The 21,800-nt window shown below is 47.1% G+C and overlaps 1 protein-coding gene across 2 annotated transcripts in view, besides 4 other annotated features; it reads right to left on the bottom strand.

Moving 5' to 3' along the window:
- INTS3 (integrator complex subunit 3) overlaps window positions 1-21,009 on the bottom strand; it is a 46,759-nt gene extending 25,750 nt beyond the window's left edge. Inside the window, exons 1-7 of one of the 2 annotated variants that reach the window (NM_001324475.2) lie at window positions 20,848-21,009; window positions 20,275-20,506; window positions 8,325-8,408; window positions 7,691-7,774; window positions 1,989-2,102; window positions 1,696-1,780; window positions 304-370 (exon numbers count right to left, since the gene is read on the bottom strand). In NM_001324475.2, coding sequence (NP_001311404.1) covers window positions 304-370; window positions 1,696-1,780; window positions 1,989-2,102; window positions 7,691-7,774; window positions 8,325-8,408; window positions 20,275-20,424 — 584 coding nt within the window. In that variant the 5' untranslated portion in view covers window positions 20,425-20,506; window positions 20,848-21,009. Of the gene's footprint in view, window positions 1-303; window positions 371-1,695; window positions 1,781-1,988; window positions 2,103-7,690; window positions 7,775-8,324; window positions 8,409-20,274 lie in introns of both variants that reach the window. The other variant, NM_023015.5, reaches the window with a different exon arrangement.
- Window positions 2,805-3,544: an enhancer, noted in NCBI's record as "OCT4-NANOG-H3K27ac-H3K4me1 hESC enhancer chr1:153717991-153718730 (GRCh37/hg19 assembly coordinates)". NCBI's record gives its function as "activates a minimal SCP1, AML or CMV promoter by ChIP-STARR-seq in primed H9 embryonic stem cells {active_cell/tissue: H9 hESC(primed)}" and the evidence as "EXISTENCE:reporter gene assay evidence [ECO:0000049][PMID:30033119]".
- Window positions 3,545-4,284: an enhancer, noted in NCBI's record as "OCT4-NANOG-H3K27ac hESC enhancer chr1:153717251-153717990 (GRCh37/hg19 assembly coordinates)". NCBI's record gives its function as "activates a minimal SCP1, AML or CMV promoter by ChIP-STARR-seq in primed H9 embryonic stem cells {active_cell/tissue: H9 hESC(primed)}" and the evidence as "EXISTENCE:reporter gene assay evidence [ECO:0000049][PMID:30033119]".
- Window positions 14,813-15,312: an enhancer, noted in NCBI's record as "H3K4me1 hESC enhancer chr1:153706223-153706722 (GRCh37/hg19 assembly coordinates)". NCBI's record gives its function as "activates a minimal SCP1, AML or CMV promoter by ChIP-STARR-seq in naive and primed H9 embryonic stem cells {active_cell/tissue: H9 hESC(naive and primed)}" and the evidence as "EXISTENCE:reporter gene assay evidence [ECO:0000049][PMID:30033119]".
- Window positions 21,072-21,243: a silencer, noted in NCBI's record as "fragment chr1:153700292-153700463 (GRCh37/hg19 assembly coordinates)". NCBI's record gives its function as "represses an EF-1alpha promoter that drives an FKBP-Casp9 reporter gene in an ReSE screen in HepG2 liver carcinoma cells {active_cell/tissue: HepG2}" and the evidence as "EXISTENCE:reporter gene assay evidence [ECO:0000049][PMID:32094911]".

The raw sequence follows: 21,800 nt of genomic DNA, 5'->3' as shown, positions 1-21,800 counted from the left end.
CCCCAACTTCCCCCTAAGATAAACATTCCAAGGAGGTCTGGATCAAAAATAAACCCTTATCAGATGAAGCCAGTTTTTCTGGGCTATGCGATATTTTGGCAAAGACCTCTTTCCCATTCCTTCATTCCTTGGGCATTAATTTCTTCACTTGCCAACAATACACTTGTCTCTCCCTCTCCTTGCCTCCCCCTCTCTAACTTAAGGTGTTCTTGGGCCACACAATCCTTTCATCCCCATTTCCCACACCCACACTCCTAATGGCCATTATCTGGCCTGTACCCCACCCTTCGTGGTGGATGCTACCTTTGCTCTGTCAGGATATCCAGAACACTTTCTGCCAACCAGATATTTTTGGCTGTAACATCTCCACCTGATTTCAAAAGGGGAAAAAAAGAATAGCTCCGATTAGCAAGTCAGCCAATCCAATACATCTCTTCACCCATTCTGCTGGTCCACCCTGACTGCCATCCCATTACTGCCATCCCTTCACTGCTGAGATAAACTGCCTTCTGTTCTGTCAGGCTTTAAAGTTTCACCCTTTGCCTCCAGAAAGAAGGAAAGGGAAGGTTCTGAATTTTTCTAGAAACCAGAGCTGCTACTTTCCCACAGATTGTGAGTTGGAGTGGGAACATTTTGGCCCTTGAAAATGAACGTCTGAGAAGTAGATATAAGAAGCCCACAGTTGGAAAGAAAGGATGATATCTCAGATAGAGCCTGAGAAGTACAGGTGGCTGACAACAGCTGCAGTCTAGCAACTGGATGTCCTGAGTCCTGCACTGAGGCCCCCAACAGGCCAAGAGTTTCTTATTTCCAGGTAACAGTCTTTAGTGCTTGCTATGAAACTCTGTGGGGCAGAATTAACACACAGCAATGCCATACCAGTCTTGGGATAAGAAGCAGGGGCTGGAAGTGCCAAACAGGGAAGAAGTGCCAGGAAAGAGGATAAAAATAGCTACAACTATGCCTTGCCCCAGGTCTCAATTAAAAAATTCAATGTTCACAAAGTCACATATCACATAGATTAAGGTTCATACACATCAAAACAGGAGCATCAGTGTTACATAAAATTTTAAAGAGGAAGCAAGTCCCAGTGGGCTAATGGTGAGGTAGTAGCAGGTCACTTTTAAACAAACACATGCAATCTTGGGAGTAGCCGCTTGAATATGCGATAGCTCAGACAGATGTCACCGATGCCAAGATGAGAATAAAACCTAAATGTCAGGGTCTGTTCTGTGACATAGTTTGTCCCTCATTCTGGCCCCAGTAAAGGGCTTAATTATTAGGGAGCAAGCGTTCAGATAATGGGGGTGGAGCCAGGGAAGATGTCTAGGTTTCTGAAAGCACAGGGACTTGAGAACAAATTAATTGCCCTCACTTCTCTCCCCATTTCTTCCTGCTCTGAAATGCTATAAAATCTCAGAGTGAAGACTGGCTAAAATAGGCCAAATATTCTGTCAAGCCCTGGGTTTAGCAGGAAAGAAAATGAGGCAAGACTTACTGCTTTAAAAGGCCCCCCATGATTTTTCAATCAATTTATTTCTACAACATATGTGGCCAGAAGATGTCTGTATCAGAAGGAAACAGTCTAAGCAATCCAAGAATTCCATCCCTTTGGCACTTAATCATTCTCCATTGTCTCTATGTAGTCTCTGGGCTCTCCTCCTTTCTTCTTTATGCTCCTGCCATCAAACTCACCTGCAATCTGCTTCATAAACGTCATACAAACACCATCGGCTCCCAGAACCCCACTCTTCACCAGTTCCCGTACCAACCACACCAACTAAAGGAAAGAGGGAAAAACAGATGAAGAGCAGGAACTGTGAGTTTGAGAAGGGAGCTAATTCAATTACAACTGAAAGGAGCACATTACAATTTAGACACACAATGATAGGGGTGTGTTAGCCCTGATTCCTCTTTCCCGTTCCTGACAGAGAGAAGATCCATCCTCTCTCTTTGAGCTGGATCTTGTCTTTTCTTTCTGGCCTTACCTGAGTACGGCAGGTATCCTGCAGCTTCAGGTACTTCTCCATAAGTATCTGGTTGATTTTATTCAGGACAATATTCATGCCATCACGACTCACCAGAGCTAAGTCCCGGTAACACTGTGAGAAGTAAAGTTTGTGATCAGCCAGCAAGCTGAGGATAAGGTCCTCACCCCACCCACAGTGGACCCCTTGCCCTCTAATCCCTTAAACTTAAATAACACCAATAAGACACCGAGTAGCAATGAAATACTTTTCATTCTGGACACTTTCTTTCCACAGGGGTCCTGCATTCCCAACCTATCCCTTGTTCTGTCACACAGAGTGGGGAAAAGGTACTGGTTATCCTTTAATGAGGCAGAAAAGCCTGCTGGGCAGCCAGGTGCAGTGGCTCACGCCTGTAATCCCAGCACTTTGGGAGGCCAAGGCGGGTGGATCACGAGGTCAGGAGATCGAGACCATCCTGGCTAACACGGTGAAACCCCGTCTCTACTAAAAATACAAAAAAATTAGCCGGGCACGGTGGCGGGCACCTGTAGTCCCTGCTGCTCGGGAGGCTGAGGCAGGAGAATGGTGTGAGCCCGGGAGGCGGAGTTTGCAGTGAGCGGAGATCGCGCCACTGCACTCTAGCCTGGGTCTAGCCTGGGCGACGGAGCGAAACTCTGTCTCGGGGGCAGGGGAGAGAAAAGCCTGCTGGGCAAGGCTCCTAGTACTATCCCTGTCCCCCCCACTTCCCATCTTAGGAAGTGTCATACTGTTTGATGCCACAGGCTGAGCAAAACCAGGTGGAGGCCATCTGCTTTTCACCTGCCAGTCAGTAAAAGGTCACTGCAAAATGGGTTTGGTTGAACAAGCCAAAAAGGATCCCAAAGAGGTTTTTAGACCAGTACTGACCCAGTCAGATACAGCAAAGGGAGTAGTAAGGGAAGAAGATCCAGGGCAGGGCCCTAGACAGTTAAGGACAGAACCAAAACTGATATTTTTTTGAATTTTTAGTTTTTTTATACTTGGGGTCTTACTTTGTTGCCTGGGCTGGAGTGCAGTGGCATGATCATAGCTCATTGCAGCTTCGAACTTCTGCGTAGCTGGTACTACAGGCATGCACCACCACGCCCAGATAATTTTTAAAACAGTTTTTTCTAGAGACAAGGTCTCACTATGTTCCCTAGGCTGAAACTCTTGGCCTCAAGTGATTCTCCCACCTCGGCCTCCTCAGTAGCTGGAATTACAGGCATGAGCAACCATACCCAGCTGAACTAAATATCTTTATTCTTTTCTCTGTGATGCCCTTTCCTTCTGCCACTTATTGAAAAAGGAAAGGTGCTTTAGCATACCAAATCCTGGGGGAGGTAAGGGAGGGCATGCTAATTTCTTCTGTGAGATTATTGCTTCCCTTCCCCCCTTAGTTTTTTTTTTTTTTTCACTCTGTCTCTATTGTGAGACCAGACTCCTGGAGGAATACCTTAGGGGGCCTCATTAGCAACTTCCTTAGCCTGCTGAGTTCTATCCCGTCAGGATCTCATCAGAAAGAGTAGAAACTAGGCAGGTAGCTTCCCACAACCTCTGAAGACCAGTAGCAAGGATGGCATCAAAAATAATAATCATATAGTATAGCAAGGGCCGGGTATGGTGGCTCATGCTTGTAATCCCAGCACTATTTGGGAGGCCGAGGCGTGTGGATCATCTGAGGTCAGGAGTTCGAGACCACCCTGGCCAACATGGTGAAACTCCATCTCTACTAAAAATACAAAAATTAGCTACGTGTGGTGGCACGTGCCTGTAGTCCCAACTACAAGGGAGGCTGAGGCGGGAGGATCACTTGAACCCAGGAGGTGGAGGTTGCAGTTAGCCAAGATCGTACCACTGCACTCCAGCCTGGGTGACAGAGACACCCTGTCTCAAAAAAAAAAAAAAAGTACAGCAAGGATGTTGTTATACTATAGCAAGCAATAATACAGCAAGGATGGCATCAACAACAATAATATATATATATGTATATATTACTGCATTTGATATACATAACAACCTTTTAAAATAGTACTACTTATTATAATTATTTTTACAGATGAGGAAATAGGCATGGAGAGCTTAAAAGTTATTTGCCCCAGATGACATAAGAGATTAGAGGAAGAACCAGGATTCAAATCCAGGCACTCCAATTCTATAACATGCTTAACCACCTCTTGTATCAACGTTAGAAATAACCAGAAGAGGCTGCTGGGAATAGCGGTATGAGTTTGTAATAGTTTTGAGACTCTACCTTTCTCCTGTCTTGGCCTCCCAAAACACTGGGATTACAGGCATGAGCCACTCCGTGCAGCAACATTTCTAAACTCTTTCATCCTATGCATTCAAAAGAAATGTACCCCTCAGTACCATCTGCTCTCTAGCCTTGAGAGACTCCTAACAGATTAGCTATTGCCACTTCCTTCTGCCTCTATTGTCGTTAAGTCAAACCAACTGATGATGAAAATACCCACAGTGAGAGATCCTCCATGTGCCATAAACTTCATCCCCAAAAGAGAATGACTCCCTCTGGGGGATGGTTGATGGTTGGGAGACCAAAAAAACAAATAAGGAAACAAGAAAGAGATGAAGGGTCCCAGTGAATTACTGTCAAATATTGATAGTTAAGTCCTGGACCCTCCCCTGGAGGTAAGTCACAGAATGGGCAGAGGACAAAGGAAGTAGAGGCAGAGGGAAAATCTGTGTCAGGCCAAAGACAGACATTACTAACTAGAGAAGAACCTTGTTGTTCAAATGAATGCAGAACAGACTCAGGACAGGGAAGCAGGACAAGTTCTCTCAGGAGATACAGGGTCAGATGAAGACAGCAGATACTGTCTGCCTAGTTCCATGTTCCATCTGGGATCTTTACTAACCACAACTGCTGGTAACAAATGAGAACCGAGAGTTTCATACACCTAAGGCTGCCAGTTGTGTTACCGACCTCTGTGTCGGTTTGCTGACCAGCTTGGAAAAGCAGCAGATGAAACACACACACACACACACACACACACACACACACACACACACACGCACATGCACACCCTCAGTGAGGAAAAGAGAAGTGGAGAGTCTCAAAGAAAAGTAAAAGTGACTGGTGACTGGATGGCATCTATCCTGAATGTGTCAAGAGCAGTGATGTGTCAGCCTAGGCCCCAGAGCCCCCAAGCTTCTTTCTAGAGCTGCCTGCTGGGAGAAATACCTAGACCAAGAGCTGCCTGGGCCTGAGTCCTTGACCCTTTGATGAAGACAGACCTTGACATTAGACCCTTTCCCATTACCTTTATCTATTGACTGCCAGCACCTGCACAGCTTAGGACTCTACCTTAGCCTCCCTCCTTGCCACAGTTCCCCAGCCAGGCCTGCTCCCAGCTGTTTAGTTCAGACACCAAATAGAAAATAAATAAACTCAAAGGATATAAACATTCCTAAGGGCTGCCAAGAGGGCTGATGCAAATCAAGAAGGTACAAGTGAGACAAAATCCACCCCATGCATCCTCTACTCTTTCCCAATACTGACCTGCTTTCTCCTTAACTGAATTCTCTTGTTCACCTGTTCAATCCATCCTAATCCCACCCACTAAGTCCCAGAGAGTTGGCCCTAACTCCTTGAACCTGCCTGCCAGTACTAACAGAGGCTCCTCAGCTCAACCTTCCTTATAGCAGTATTCTATTTGTTCAAGACTCAGTTTCCACACTTCTCCACCATATCCACTTCCCATCTCAGCCCATGAAGATTCAAGAACAACTAAATCTCAAATACATCCTGAGGTTTCTGTTCCAAAGGCAGAATTAACCCCAAATACAAATCCTTAGAAAACAGTCCCATTGCTTTAAGCTGAAGCCTAAAATGATGCATTACAATCAGTCCTCATCAGTAACTCCCACCTAAAACTTCTGTAGGACAGAAGTATTTTTACAAAATAATCACCCTTTTAGGGAGAAGGAGCAAAGCTCTAGGGAGATACGTCACTAATTCTTCCATCATGCTCTGACCTGGCTCAAGGTCTCTGAATGAGTCACTACTTGATAGTTCCTCACCCGCCTAAAACTGTGTCCTCCTAATTCTGTCTTTACTGCCTTTGTCTGAAGAGGCCTGACCTGGAGGCTTGGCCCAGGAAGGCTCACAGGTAGGGGATTTACTTGGAAACTTTTAGCATGTGAACATGAATGCTAGCAAAGGTGTCAACCAGCTATGAGACCCGAGGCAAATGCTTCACTTCCCCAGAGGGCCTGGGCCTCCCACATGGGGCTGTTATAGGGCAAAAAGAAGAGGAGATACTCTAGTCTCTTGCTGTGTCTGGATGGCCAAATTCATGACATAATAAGCATTTACACTGCAGAACCCAGTGGCCTCTTACTGATAGGCCAGGCAAAGAGCTAGAAATACCACACATACTCTGCCCCCTTCACTTAGGTTTACTGATTTACCCAGGTTGGTTCAGATCACCTGAAACAAACAAACAAAACTTTCCAGCAGGCAAGACTAATTTGCACTGAGATGACTAAATGGAATTTGAATGGTATTTATAAAAACCCACACACAGCCAATGATGCGCACGCACACACACACACACACACACACACACACAGAGATTAAAAAACCCACACAAGAGGAAGTTAAACTTTAACTCCATCCCATCTACTCTCATCTTTGCCAACAATTTCTTTAAAATGGATGTGCTGGACTGGATCATATCACTCTTTAAAACCACCCAACTGGAAACATTCATTTGTCTTCAAGGATCTTGATGATAAATTCAGTATAAAAATGAAACAGCAATTTAACTCGACAAGGTCCCAGCCCAGAATGGGCTTGGCTTTCCTGGGAAACCAAGAATTTGTGAATACTTGCTGCCTCACTGCCCACCCTCACCCCAGACCCTATTCCAGCTGGCATCAGAAGTACAAACAGATCAGTTTCCCATGCCCATAAATCCTTCCCTTGAGGTTAATTCAAGCAGCTATGCCAAGGAACCATGAGCATCCTGTTCTTATCCCCGGAAATGATTTTCCTTTGGTTCCCCTTGAACAAATGACACCATCTCTGACATCCAAGTTATCTCACAGAATTCAAAGAGATCACCCTGCCTAGTCCCTCACCTCAAGGAGGGAACCTACTTGAACCGTTCCACATAAAGGGGACTCTTCAGTTTGTGAAGAACCCCAGACAAGTTTTCATACAATATTCCTCAGGAAGTCTGACTCCAGTATACTCCAGTGTTCTCCTAATCACTACATTATTTACTGCATCAATCATGTAACATTAAGCTGTCTCATCTAAATCCTACCTACTAAAATTTTAAGCCTGCTTTCTATTCACCTGCCAATGGCAGAATCTGCAAACTACAGGCCATGCTCTTCTGGATAAGAACTCTCATGGACTTGGTTACAATTGTTCTCTTCTATTCCCTGGATTTAATCCCAACCCTTTTAGCCTTGCCTCATAAATTTAAAATTTAAAACTCTGTTTTTTCACTTTCATGACTGCCATTTAGCTTCAGAATCTGGAGATAGAGAAAGGACTTTAGTCAGAGGATGACCAATTCACTGAGTAAAAAGGGACTTGTAACTATATTTGGAGAACAAGGTGATCCAGCTCTGGTCGAAGAGTTTCATACTACCCCAGTTAAACTGTAAGTTCCACCATATCCCAGATCATATATGAGGAGGGTTTATGGGTCCAGAGCAGGGTGCCTTACCTTCTGGGCTTGGGCAGGTTCAGTGAGGATGAGAGTAAACAGGCCCAGGCAGATTTCTTCATGCTGGGGGAGGCCTTTGCACACCTGGAATGTGAGAAAGGAAAACAAACTAGTTGTCACTCACAGGCAGTAAGTTCTCAAACTCAGTTTCTCCCAGAAAACATGGGACTCCTAAGGAAGATGCAAAGGAGAATAATCAACTTTTAAATCTGATGATTTCCTTCTCTTAAAAGAGATTTTTAAAAAAAGAAGAGAGATAAGGACGACAGGTGTGGTGGTGCACACCTGTAGTCCCAACTACTCCAGAGGCTGAAGCAGAAGGATCGCTTGAGCCCAGAAGTTCAAGGCTATAGTGCACTATAATCATGCCTGTGAACAATCACTGCATTCCAGCCTGGGCAACATAGCGAGACCACATTGCTATAAAAATAAAAAGCTGTACTGAAAGATGCCCAAGGCTCCAAGAGATAGGCTCCCACAGTAAAAGAGAAGAATTGAGAAATTTGATTCAGGGAGCCAAGACTTGATGAATTTCAGTCCCCTACCCCCAACCACTTAGTCTTTCCATCTTTTTGACCATGTTTCAAGACCTTCACAGCAGCAGCAGTGGCTGCAGGGACAGCATTCTACTTACATACGCATTGAGGGCATCATTGGCTTCTCTCTCCGAGACACCAGCAGTCATCGATGTCACAATGCTCATACACCTTTCCAATCTCTGGGAAGGGGTGAGAAAAAATGAACAGTGTGTCATAACACCACTTAGGAAGTACTTCTGGGCCCCTAAAAGTTTAACAATTCAAACCTGATCATGCCCATTGATCTAGCTGCCAGTTTACTTATAAAGTCACCATGAGGATAAAACCAGCAAAATCTAAAATGTGGAAACCATAAACAGGTGACCTGATTTCTTTAACACATAAATCGCAAGAAAAAAAGTGAGGGAAACCCATATATTAAGAGACTTAGGGCCAGGCGTGGTGGCTCATGCCTCTAATCCTAGCACTTTAGGAGGCCGAGGTGGGCAGATCACCTGAGGTCAGGAGTTCAAGACCAGCCTGGCCAACACGGTGAAACCCCGTCTCTACTGAAAATGCAAAAATTAGCCAGGCGCAGTGGCACATACCTGTAATCCCAGCTACCTGGGAGGCTGAGGCAGGAGAATCTCTGGAACCCGGGAGGCAGAGGCAGCAGTGAGCAGAGATCGCGCCATTGCACTCCAGCCTGGGTGACAGAGCGAGACCCTGTCTCAAAAAAATAAAATAAAATAGGGCGGGCACGGTGGCTCACACCTGTAATCCCAGCACTTTGGGAGGCCGAGGCAGGTGGATCACAAGGTCAGGAGTTTAAGACCAGCCTGACCAACATGTGAAACTCCGTCTCTACTAAAAATACAAAAAATTAGCCGGGCATGGTGGTGTGCGCCTGTAATCCCAGCTACTCAGGAGGAGGAGACTGAGGCAGGAGAATTGCTTGAACCCGGGAGGCAGAGGTTGCAGTGAGCAGACATCATGCCACTGCACTCCAGCCTGGGCGACAGAGCGAGACTCTGTCTCAAAAAAATATATTTTAATAAAGAAAATAAAATAAAAGGGACTTAGGCCAGATGCAGTGGCTCACGCCTGTAATCCCAGCACTTTGGGAGGCTGAGGTGGGCAGATCACCCGAGGTCAGGAGTTCGAGACCAGCCTGGCCAATATGGTGAAACCCTGTCTCTACTAAAAATACAAAAATTAGCTGGGTGCGGTGGTTCACACCTGTAATCCCAGCACTTTGGGAGGCCGAGGGGGTTGGATCACCAGAGGTGGGGAGTTCGAGACCAGCCTGACGAACATGGAGAAACCCCGTCTCTACAAAAATTAGCCTGGCATGGTGGCACATGTCTGTAATTCCAGCTACTCGGGAGGCTGAGGCAGGAGAATTGCTTAAACCCAGGAGGCAGAGGTCGAGGTGAGCCGAGATTGCATCATTGCACTCCAGCCTGGGCAACAAGAGTGAAACTCCGGCCGGGCGCGGTGGCTCACGCCTGTAATCCCAGCACTTTGGGAGGCCGAGGCGGGTGGATCACGAGGTCAAGAGATCAAGACTATCCTAGCCAACATGGTGAAAAAACCCTGTCTCTACTAAAAATACAAAAATTAGCTGGGCATTGTGGCACACGCCTGTAGTCCCAGCTACTCGAGAGCCTGAGGCAGGAGAATCACTTGAACCCGGCAGGTGGCAGTTGCCGTGAACCGAGATCATGCCACTTCACTCCAGCCTGGGCGACAGAGTGAGACTCCGTCTCAAAAAAAACAAGAAAAAAAAATTAGCCAGGCGTGGTGGCAGGCGCCTATAATCCCAGCTTCTCAGGAGGCTGAGGCAGGAGAATCGCTTGAACCTGGGAGGCAGAGTTTGCAGTGAGCTGAGTTGGCATCATTGCACTCCAGTCTGGATGACAAGAGCGAGACACTGTCTCAAAAAAAAAAAAAAAAAGACACTTAATATTATCATCTATCGAATAAAATGAGAATCCATCAGTCCATTTTGATAGATACATACATAATAAACAAGAAAGGAAAGCTCTTCCTTACAGTACAATGCCAACTAATAAATGTAGATGAAATGGTGAAAGTAATAACTGATTCAGGCAAATATCATCATCAATGGATGGTAAAACTAGTAGGTGAAACTTTTCAGAGAAAGAAGATAATTACATAGATTCAAAATACTTATTAATTACAAAAGGAATATAATAATCACTGTAGGAGAGCCTGGAGGACACTACCTTAACCAAGTGATCAAAGTTAATATCACTAAATAATGAGACATGTTAACACTATGTGCCTCTAACAGGATGCACTGAAAGGATATAACATCACTTTTATGGTTTTCTTGCCAAAAATGCATAAACTCAGTCCAATTATGAAGAAATTTCAGACAACCCAAACTGAAGGATATTCTACAAAACAAATGGCCTGTCAAAAATGCTTAAGGGCTGGGCACGGTAGCTCACACCTGTAATCCCAGCACTTTGGGAGGCAGGAGGACTGCTTGAGCCCAGGAGCTCGAGACCAGCCTGGGCAATATAGGGAGACCCCCATCTCTATAAATAAGAAAAAAATTAGCTGAGCATGGTTGTGCATGCCTGTGGTCCCAGTTACTCAGGAGGCTGAGGTGGGAGGATCACTTGAGCCCAGGAGGGCAAGGCTATAGTGAGCTATGATGGTACCACTACACTCCAGCCTGGGCAACAGAACATTATTGTTAATGTTTTTAGTTATGATATAAATATTATGATTATGTTTTTTAAAAGTCCTTTTCTTATAGACTTTATATAAAATGTTTACAGATAAAATTGTATATCTTGGATTTGCTTCAAAGTAATACAGAGGTAGCTGAAAGAAGATAAAACAAGATTGCTATCTACTGTTAAGTACTGAAGCAGAGTGATGGCTACATGAAGATTTTACTATTCTACTTTTTTATATTTGAAATGTCCCCCCAAAATGTTAAGAACAAACTTTAAAAACAATGAGAGTGTGAGGAAAGAAAAATAGAGCACCAAAAGCCAAATGAAAACCTACCAGGGGTCGGGCACAGTGGCTCACGTCTGTAATCCCAGCACTTTTGGAGGCTGAGGCGGGAGGATCACTTGAGGTCAGGAGTTTGAGACCAGCCTGGCCAACATGGCAAAACCCCGTCTCTACTAAAAATACAAAAACTAGCCAGGTGTGGTGGCGCGCACCTGTAGTCCTAGCCTCTTGGAAGGCTGAGGCAGAGGAATCGCCTGAACCTGGGAGTCAGAGGTTGCAGTGAGCCAAGATTGCACCTCTGCACTCCAGCCTGGGCTACAGAATGAGACTCTGTCCAAAAAAAAAGTACCAGGGTCTCCAGTTAAACAAGGATGAAAATAGCTGCATTAAAGCCTACCCAACAGTCATTCTGGTTTCAACTCCACCATGTCATGTGTTCAACATTCTAAGGGAACCTTAGTCACTGGTCCCTGTTCAGAAGAAGCAATATTGGTAAGATACTGACAAAATGCGACTCGTAAGTCAATGAACCTCTCCATTATCACCACCTAAACTATTTCCTGAGTCCTTTTAAAACTTTATCTTGAGGATTAACCCAAAAACTGTTTAAGAAAAACCAATTTCCAGTGATAATGATTCTGGCAAAAGAAGGACAAAGGAAGGCTGGTTTACTTCTACCTGATCTTAGAGGTCATCACCACACATCTTATTGAGAAGTGGTTCTATCACAGCATTTTGAAGAACTGACAAATATGGATAATAGGATAGAGGTTTAAGAATGAAAGACGGCCAGGTGCAGTGGCTCACGCCTGCAATCCCAGCACTTTGGGAGGCTGAGGTAGGAGGATTATGAGGTCAGGAGATAGAGACCATCCTGGCTAACAAGGTCAAACCCCGCCTCTACTTAAAAAAAATACAAAAAATTAGCCGGGCATGGTGGCAGGCGCCTGTAGTCCCAGCTACTCAGGAAGCTGAGGCAGGAGAATGGTGTGAACCCGGTCGGCGAAGCTTGCAGTGAGCCGAGATTGTGCCACTGCACTCCAGCCTGGGCGACAGAGGGAGACCCCGTCTCAAAAAAAAAAAAAAAAAAAAGAATGAAAGACAATTGGACTGGGCGCGGTGGCTCACGCCTGTAATCTCAGCACTTTGGGAGGCAGAGGGAGGGTGGATTATGAGGTTAGGAGTTCGAGACCAGCCTGACCAACATGGTGAAACCCCGTCTCTACTAAAAATACAAAACTTAGCTGGGTGTGGTGGCATGCGCCTGTAATCCCAGCTACTCGGGAGGCTGAGGCAGGAGAATTGCTTGAATCTGGGAGGCAGAGGTTGCAGTGAGCCAAGATTGCGCCACTGCACTCCAGCCTGGGTGACAGAGCAAGACTCCATCTCAAAAAAAAAAAAAGGATAAAAGACAATCATGCTTCTCCTTTACCATTATCCTCAGGTTGCCTATGTCTATCCTGTGTAAGAGCATAAGGTGGCACAGAGTAGAACTGAGTGTTAAGGCAAGGCAAGTGTTTGTAGCTCCCATAGCTATAAAACTTCAAGCTAAAATAAGCCCCAAGCCACTTATTACAACTTAATATCAGGTCTAACTATGCTCCAAATTAGGTCAGATTGGCAGCTCAGCCTGAATAAAAAGCACCTGTGTACTTGTGAAAAGGAGCTGTGAGGTCACATGAAGGCTGAGCTATGATTCTCACAGCCCACCTCTCCCACAAGCTCTGAGATCCAGTATTACCTAGTCCACCTCCTATATGATAAGGGGAGGGAAGGAAAACCCTCCAGCTGGGCTTCCTCTGTTTTTAAATCTTATCCCACTTGCCAGGCACAGTGGCTCACGCCTGTAATCCCAGTACTTTGGGAGGTCGAGGCAGGTAGATCACCTGAGGCCAGGAGTTCAAGACTAGCCTGGGGAACAGAAAGAGACCCCCCCAACCCCATCTCTACAAAAACTAAATAAATCAGCCAGGCATGGTCGTGTGCACCTGTAGTCCCAGGTACTTGGGAGGCTGAGGCAGGAGGATCACTTGAGCCCAAGAGCTGTAGGCTGCAATAAACCGTGATTGCACCACTGTACTCCAGCCTGGGTGACAAAGCAAGGCCCTGTCTCAAAAATCATCCCTCTCTACCCAAGACAATTATCACGGACTGGGGAATCAATTACATCCAGCTGCTAGGTTCAGATTGCTCTTACTAGGAGATCTGGGGGAAGCCCTGTACACAGCCTAGGTTAACGGTTTCAGAGGAGAAGGAGATGGTGAACAAGGAGTGGCACAGCATTCTAAAATTCTAGATATTCCTTCCTACCAAAGGGAAAAATCTCTGCTGAATCAATGGAGAGGAAAGGCAAGCAAAATCAAACAGCAGCTAGCTAATAAGCAAACTGACAGGAAGCATAACATAGAAAGAACCCTCCACACTTGCCAGCCTTAGGCTAATCTTGGGTAATTTAGCCACTCAAAACCCCTCAAAACAGAGATAATGCCTCTATCACAAGGTTGCTGTAAGGATTAAACAAAATGACATATGTGAAAGCACCTAGCATACAGCCTCACTTAAATTAGACCTATTCAATCTGTGGCCAGGCATGGTGGCTCATGCCTATAATCTCAGCGCTTTGGGAGGCCAAGGTGGGGAGGAATCACTTGAGGACAGGAGTTCAAAACCAGCCTAGGCAACATAGTGAAGCCGCTGTCTCTACAAAAAAAATGTTAAAAATTAGCTGGGTGTGGTGGCGTGCCTATAGTCCCAGCTACTTGGGAGGCTGAAGTGGGTGCATCATTTGAGCCCAGGAGGTTGAGGATGCAGTGAGCCATGATCACGCCACTGCACTCCAGCCTGAGTGACAGAGCAAGACCTTGTCTCAAACAAAACAAAACAAAAACTATTCAATTTGCGGGAAGCTCAGCAATTGCACAACTAAATTTAGAGAACTAAAACCTCTCCACTCCCAGACACTACTTCTATTCTAATGGGATGGCCTTAAAGATTCCTGAAAACTCCTACCACAGGACATGAATAAATTCCTGACCAGGCTAAAAAGCTTTCTCTCCTATCTACTCTCTGTAAACTTTTGCCTTCTAGGAGACAAGAGGAAAAGGTAGGGGAGAGGGAGGGGCCTGAATGATGTACCCTCTACCAGATCCTGCAAAGCTGGCTACACAAAGGGCTAGCTGAGCCTCCAGCAATGATCTATTGCTGAGAGACCTTGGGTTGAACAGTTTCTCTAGGCCCCTTCCCTAGCTCCCGTGAGCTCTGCTCAGAGGCCTGAGTCAATTCTATGGGTCACTGCTCAGTGAAGGAGCAAAGTGGCCTCTTGGAACAGAGAGGCTCAGCTAAGGTTGTAGAAAGTGAGAGTCCAGAATTTGGATGGGTGGATAACTGCAATGAGGAAAAAATGAGAGGCCCAGTCCTTTCTGTTCACAGGCAACAAGAAGTATAAAGGATACTTTACTCTTCCTGGACTACAGAAATTACTTTTCCAAACAGGGATGGGAAAATTGATTACAAATCATTCAGGGTGACAAAGGACCATGTCCCTTCAAAGAAAGCCACAGGAAGCCAGATCCCTACAATCAAGTAATAGCAACGCTTTTCCCCTAGTCTCCAGAGTCTCTTAGTAAAGATAGAATCATAGGTTCAGATGCCAACAACTGCTGGCAGAATGGCTCTGTTCAGAGTAAGCCCTCCATGACAGTACCTTAGAGAGCTGAGTAAATATTTACAATCTCTAGGAGCTCCTGAACTAATTTTTCTAATACTAAGACTACCTGACCATGGTTTCCATGAGAGCAGCAGCAGATGAAATGGGGGAGAAAGGGGGGGAAGGCCTTTCTCTTTCCCAGTATATACCCAAAGCTGGAGACTCAAGCTGGAGGAACCCCTCTAACCTTTCCATTTCCCCTCCCTCAGCCAGGTGGATATAGAGTCTGGTAAAAAGCATACAGTGGCTGGGTGTGGTGGCTCACGCCTGTAGTCCCAACACTCTGGGAGGCTGAGGGGGGCGAATCACGAGGTTAGGAGATCGAGAGCAGCCTGGCCAACATGGTGAAACCCCATCTCTACTAAAAATACAAGAATCAGCCGGGTGTGGTGGCGCACACTTGTAGTCCCAGCTACTCGGGAGGCTGAGGCAGGAGAATCGCTTGAACCCGGGAGGCGAAGGTTGCAGGGAGCTGTCGCGCCACTGCACTCCAGCCTGGGTGACGGAGCGAGAATCCATCTCCCCACAAAAAAAAGCATACAGTAAATACTGCTCCCTATGGGAAGTGGCCTTAAACACCAAATTCCCCATCTTCAGAAAAGGAAGATACAATCTAACTCATAAAATCCCCAAGGACAGCTGGGTGCGGTGGCTCACGCCTGTAATCCCAGCACTTTGGGAAGCTGAGGCAGGAAGATCACGAGGTCACGACTTCGAGAGCAGCCTGGACAACATGGTGAAACCCCATCTCTACTAAAAATACAAAAATTAGCTGGGCGTGGTGGTGCACACCTGCAGTCCCAGCTACTTGGGAGGCTGAGGCAGGAGAATCGCTTGAACCCAGGGGGCGGAGGTTGCAGTGAGCCGAGATCGCACCACTACACTCCAGCCTGGGAGACAGAGCAAGACTGCATCTGCAAAAAAAAAAAAAAAAAAAAAAAAAAAAAAAAGCATTCGGTAAATACTGCTCCCTATGGGAAGTCAGTGGCCTTAAAAGACTAAATTCTGGCCCGGCACGGTGGCTCATTCCTGTAATCCCAGCACTTTAGGAGGCCGAGGTAGGTGGATCATGAGGTCAGGAGTTCGAGACCAGCCTAACATGGTGTACGAGGTCAGGAGTTCAAGACCAGCCTGACCAACATGGTGAAACCCTGTCTCTACTAAAAATACAAAAAAATTAGCCGGGCATGGTGGTGCGTGCCTTTACTCCTAGCTACTCAGGAGGCTGAGGCAGGAAAATCGCTTGAATCTGGGAAGTGCAGGTTGCAGTGAGCCGAGATGATGCCACTGCACTCCAGTCTGGGCAACACAGTGAGACTCCATCTCAAAAAAAAAAAAAGACTAAATTCCTCATTTTCAGAAAAGGAATATACAATCTAACTCATAAAATCCCCAAGGATGGCCAGGCACAGTGACTCACGCCTGTAATCCCAGCACTTTCGGAGGCCGAGGCAGGTGGATCACCTGAGTTCAGGAATTTGAGACCAGCCTAGCCAATGTGGTGAAACCCCGTCTCTACTAAAAATGCAAAAAAAGTAGCTGGGTGTGGTGGTGGGCTTCCGTAATCCCAGCTACTTGGGAGGCTGACGCAGGAGAATCGCTTGAACACAGGAGGCAGAGGTTTCAGTTAGCTGAGATCACGCCATTGCACTACAGCCTGGGTAACAAGAGGGAAACTCCGTTTAAAAAAAAAAAAAAAATCCCCAAGGACTCACGTAGGTGAGGAGTTATTGAACAAGCTGCGTTCAAAGTATTCCACAACCATGAGTCACTGGTATATGAAATTATGATTTGTAAGGGGACAAAAACTAGAAGTGACTCAAAGCCCAGTCCCTGGAGACTCCTCACATATGTATATGAATTATTCCTTGGGGAAAACCAGGTAGAGACATACCTCTAACCAAATGCAACCCTGAGACCTATCCAGCGCTTAAGAGGAAGCTCTGGCCAGGCTCGGTGGCTCATGCCTGTAATCCCAGCAATTTGGAAGGCCAAGGCAGGTGGATCACCTGAGGTCAGGAGTTCGAGACCAGCCTGGCCAACATGGTGAAACCCATCTCTACTAAAAATACAAAAATTAGCCAGGAGTGGTAGTGCCTGTAATCCCAGCTACTCTGGAGGCTGAGGCAGGAGAATCGCTTGAACCCGGGAGGCAGAGGTTGCAGTGAGCCAAGATCGCGCCACTGCACTCCAGCCTGGGCGACAGAGGGAGACTCTGTCTCAAAAAAAAAAAAAAAAAAAAAAAAGTTAAAAAAAGACGCGGGGCCAGGTGCGGTGGCTCAAGTCTGTAATCCCAGCACTTTGGGAGGCCGAGGTGGGCGGATCATGAGGTCAGGAGATAGAGACCATCCTGGCTAACATGGTGAAACCCTGTCTCTACTAAAAATGCAAAAAATTAGCCGGGCGTGGTGGCAGGCGCCTGTAGTCTCAGCTACTCGGGAGGCTGAGGCAGGAGAATGGTGTGAACCCGGGAGGCAGAGCTTGCAGTGAGCCAAGATCCCACCACTGCACCACTCCAGCCTGGGCGACAGAGTGAGACTCCATCTCAAAAAAAAAAAAAAAAAAAAAGAGGACGCTCTTGGGCCTCCCACTTTCAGCCTGATTTAAAAGTGATTGGTCCCTCTTTGGCAGAAGAAAAACCAGGAGCTACCAAGGCTCATGAGATTAGGAACTACATGTTCTAAACTCCTTCAATCTCTGGCACTATTTTTATCTCATTCCCTCCCCAAATTGGGATGGGAATGGGCAAGAAGACTTCCGCCTTCAAAGGGAAAAACAGGGCCAAAGAGAAGAAAGGATATACCAAATGTTCCCTAGGGTAGTAGAGTTAAGAGTTCCTGCCTGGGATGCTCTTGACCAGTGCTTCCTACTCCAAATCTCTAAAGGTCTTTCCTAATCACACCCAATTATAATGACCTGTCTCTTCACTACTCTAACTAGTTTCTTTTGTTTATTGTTTTTGTTTTTTTACCTTCTTGTGGGCGTGTTAAATGAAGCCATTAGATGATAAGCTTCGAAAGGCAGACCTTGGATGTCCTCCAACCTGTTTTCCTATCAGACCCAGCACACAGTAAGCATATATGGTCAGGAAACTACCTCTGTGTTCCTGGGCAATAGGTAGGTCTGTGATGGGAAAATAACCAAGCCAGAACAAGCAGAGGTCAGTCGATCAACACCAAGTTTTCATAACTTCTGTGTGCAGAGATCTGTGGGGAGACCCAGAGGAAGAAGCCAGTAAGTCTTGCCCTTAGAGACCCTCTGGTCTAGTGGGGATAACCGAACCACACACATTGGGAAAAAAATAGTGTGGCAAGTCTTGCTAGAAAATTCAAATGCAAAGGACAAAGGGCAAAGAAGGGGGAGCTTGAGACATACTGGGAAACATCCACATTATGGAGATCAGAAAAAAAGAAAGACCCTCCCTCCCCCTTTTCCCTGGAAACAGTTGGAAGTTCACTCTCAGTATAAAAAAAGCCAGAAAATGCATGCTTCCCCTCTTCGATGGTCCCCTCCTGCTGCATCATTTCATTTAGTAGCAAACACGTCACTGCTCAGAAGAACAGGATGCTGTACTATTCAGTGAATTGAATTAAAGCAGAGACACAATGACGCCTCTAAGAATCAGGGTGGGGATTTCAACCCCTGGGTCTTTTGCCCTCCACTCAAACTGATGGAGGGATCAAAGGCAGTCCATTATTGACTTTCTATACTTCTAGAGCTCCAGTGTTAGTACACAGGGATCAAGAAATGTTTTGACAATGACAGTGGCCATTTCTTAAAAAGTAAATAATTCCAATTGCCAGGCAGTCCTAAAGTCATTCTCACCTGTTTTGGGAATACATTGTTCACATTCATAATTATATCTACCTTAGCTGATAACTACAGACAGCAGAAAACAAACTGATTTACCTGAATGCCCACAGAATTATGAGGGAAAAGCATGACGGGAAGGCAGACTGCAAGTAGACATTTGCTGGTGGAAAATCCACAAAGTTACTATCCAGCCACTTCTTGATTCACAAAGTTCATTTTGGCATGTATGTTCTACCATCTTGTATCTGACCCATTTTTTCAAATCTAAATTCTGAATTTCACCTGTCTGCCTGCCCACCCTCTAATAGCTGATAAAGTTAGAAGCTGGGAAACAGCCAGTGAAGAGCTAAGGCCTGTTAATGTACTCATCCTGTCCCTGGATAACCACCGAGTTGAATATTAGGCCTTACAAACAGTTAAGCAATCACGTCTCAGCTCTGGATCTCATATTCTTTTTTTTTTTTTTTTTGAGACGGGGTCTCTCGCTCTGTCGTCAGGCTGGAGTGCAGTGGCGCAATCTTGGCTCGCTGCAACTTCTGCCCACGGGTTCAAGCGATTCTCCTGCCTCAGCCTCCCAAACAGCTGGGATTACAGGCACAAGCCACCATGCCCAGCTAATTTTTGCATTTTTAGTAGAGACGGGGTTTCACCATGTTGGCCAGGATGGTCTCGATCTCTTGACCTTGTGATCCGCCTGCCTCGGTCTCTCAAAGTGCTGGGATTACAGGCGTGAGCCACCGCACCCAGCCTAGATCTCATATTCTTAAGTACATATTCTCGTTTGTAGGAGTGGAAAGGTATACGTGATCAACTCTGAGATGGCAGAATGAGAAAGCTGGGTAAGAGGACAGGAGGGGCAACTATCAGGTCCCCTGAAGTCCTCATTCAGGTCCATTCCATTTCTTCGCTCCACCTTCTTTTTCAGAAGCGATGTGTTCTCTCCTGTGTGTGTGCTATCTGGTTCTGAAGGAGAATCCCCTAGGTACCATTCACCCCACTACAGTGGCTGATGCCACCAAACTAAACACTACTCACTTTTCTTAAGTCTTCACTCATTCTAGATGCCCAGTTAACATCACTGGCAATTGGTTGTGTCTACACGAAGTCAATGATAGCATCTAACAGGAGGGTCCAAGGTCTACTGCCAGCTCTTACCAGCCCCCAAACATCTACACAGACATACATTACATCTCAACTCAATATATTGACCTAAGTCTGAAACAGGGTTGATAGTAAAAATAGCTGGGGTGTGTATGTCGAAAGGAATGTCAAAAATAAATTCGGTAAACCTGGATGTTGTATCCCTTCCTTCACCAACACCCCCCACCCATTTTCATACTAGTGGCTGCTGTTACTATGACAACCTGTCCAGGAAGTTGGCCCACATTTCTTCCCTCAGGAGCAGGAAGCTGGAGCAGTGTTTGTGTTACTTCACAAAAAACTTGAAAGCCTCCACCCCCGCCCCCACCCCCCGTCCTCCCACCCGGTATCCGCTCCAGTATCCCTCCAAAACCCAATTTCTTAACTCCCTTCCCTCCCCCCACACCTACCTCCTCTAACTCATCCTTGGCATCCAAACTGGTTGAAAGTAGCAGCCTCCCCCCTCCTGGGGCTCCTGCTCCCGCTCCTCCTCCTCCACCTCCCGCTGCTCCCGAAGCAGCTGCTGCTGCTGCCGCCCCTTTTCCCTTCTGCAACTCCATGGCTGCAGCCAGGAGCCGGGAAAAGGTCAGGGAGTGGATGGATGGACAGTCCTAGATATCGGGATCTCTGGATTGCCAGGGACTGGGGGGCAAGAGGAACAAGTTGGGGAGGGGAGAGCAAGGGCCCCTGTCCTCTCCACTCCTCCCTCCTCTCCAAAAGGCCGCGCCTGCGTTGGGGGCGAAGGCACAGTCCTCTGGGTCCTGACTCTGGGGTGGCAGTGCTGAGGGAAAGGCGTTGGCTCCGAAGTACAGTGGGGTAAAGGCCTGTGTCCCTATGGGAAGGGTAGGAGAGGCTTCCGCCCCTGAAGAAGTGGACCCTAAGAGCGTCTGACCCTAAGAAAGGAGGGAAACCCCTAAGTTTCTGCCTCTTTTCCCCGTGGGGGGAAAAGAGGAGTCCTGCCCCTGAATTAGGAGGTAGGAAACCTTCCTGGCTGATGCCCCAAGGCTTGGGGAGTGCAGCGCCTTTGGATCCGGCCCCTAGGGGGTGAGGGTGAGGCAATAAGCGCTATGGGAGGACGGGGAGGACCAGCGTCTCCCCACACCACACAGAAGCGGCCATAGTGGAAGGGCGGGGGGTGGGAAGGCGGAGGGCGGGGGAGGGGGAGAAATCGTCTAGGCCCGCGCCGGAAGTGAGCAGTCGCGGCCCCTGGCCTCCGCCAATAGCTGCTTCCGCGGTGGCGCTGAGTCTCCAAGGGGTAGGAAGACCTCGGCGGACTGGCCTTTTCTCCGTCTGCCAATGGTGTTGAGGGAGAAGAGAGCCTGGTCTGATGGACAACTAGCGTGCCCAATCGCTTCCCTCCTTTGCTCTCGGGGTGGGGTGGGAGCGCGAGGCGATGAGGAAGGAGAGAGGCTGCGCCGGCGTGCGCTGAGGCGCATGCGCGATGTCAGCCTCCGCCCTGTTCCTCCTAGAATTTGGGTGGGTGCAGGAACCTGGGCAATGTCCCTGCGTGGCTTTGAGAGACACGAAGCCTGCCACGAAGTGGCAGGGCGGGGGAGGGAACGTACCCCAACCCGTAGGCAGTCACAGAGCAAATGCCGTCGGGTGGTATGAAGCCAGCTTCCAGAGCTAAGAGTGCATCACACAGGCACGTGTATGCACTCACATAAGTGCAATTATCAGACTTTGCAAAAAAAGTGCATTGCCCCTTAGGCCGAGTCCGATGGCTGACGCCTGTAATCCCAGCACTTTGGGAGGCCGAGGCAGGCGGATCACGAGGTCAGGAGATTGAGACGATCCTGGCCAACGTGGTGAAACCCCGTCTCTACTAAAAATACAAAAATTAGCCAGGCGTGGTGGCGGGCGCCTGTAGTCCCAGCTACATGGGAGGCTGAGGCAGGAGAATCGCTTGCACCCGGGAGGCGGAGGTTGCAGTGAG

Source organism: Homo sapiens, chromosome 1 (assembly GCF_000001405.40).
Source record: "Homo sapiens chromosome 1, GRCh38.p14 Primary Assembly".
Lineage (NCBI taxonomy): Eukaryota > Metazoa > Chordata > Mammalia > Primates > Hominidae > Homo > Homo sapiens.
The sequence above is the reverse complement of the archived record's forward strand: the minus strand, read 5'-3'. Positions and strand labels throughout refer to the sequence as shown.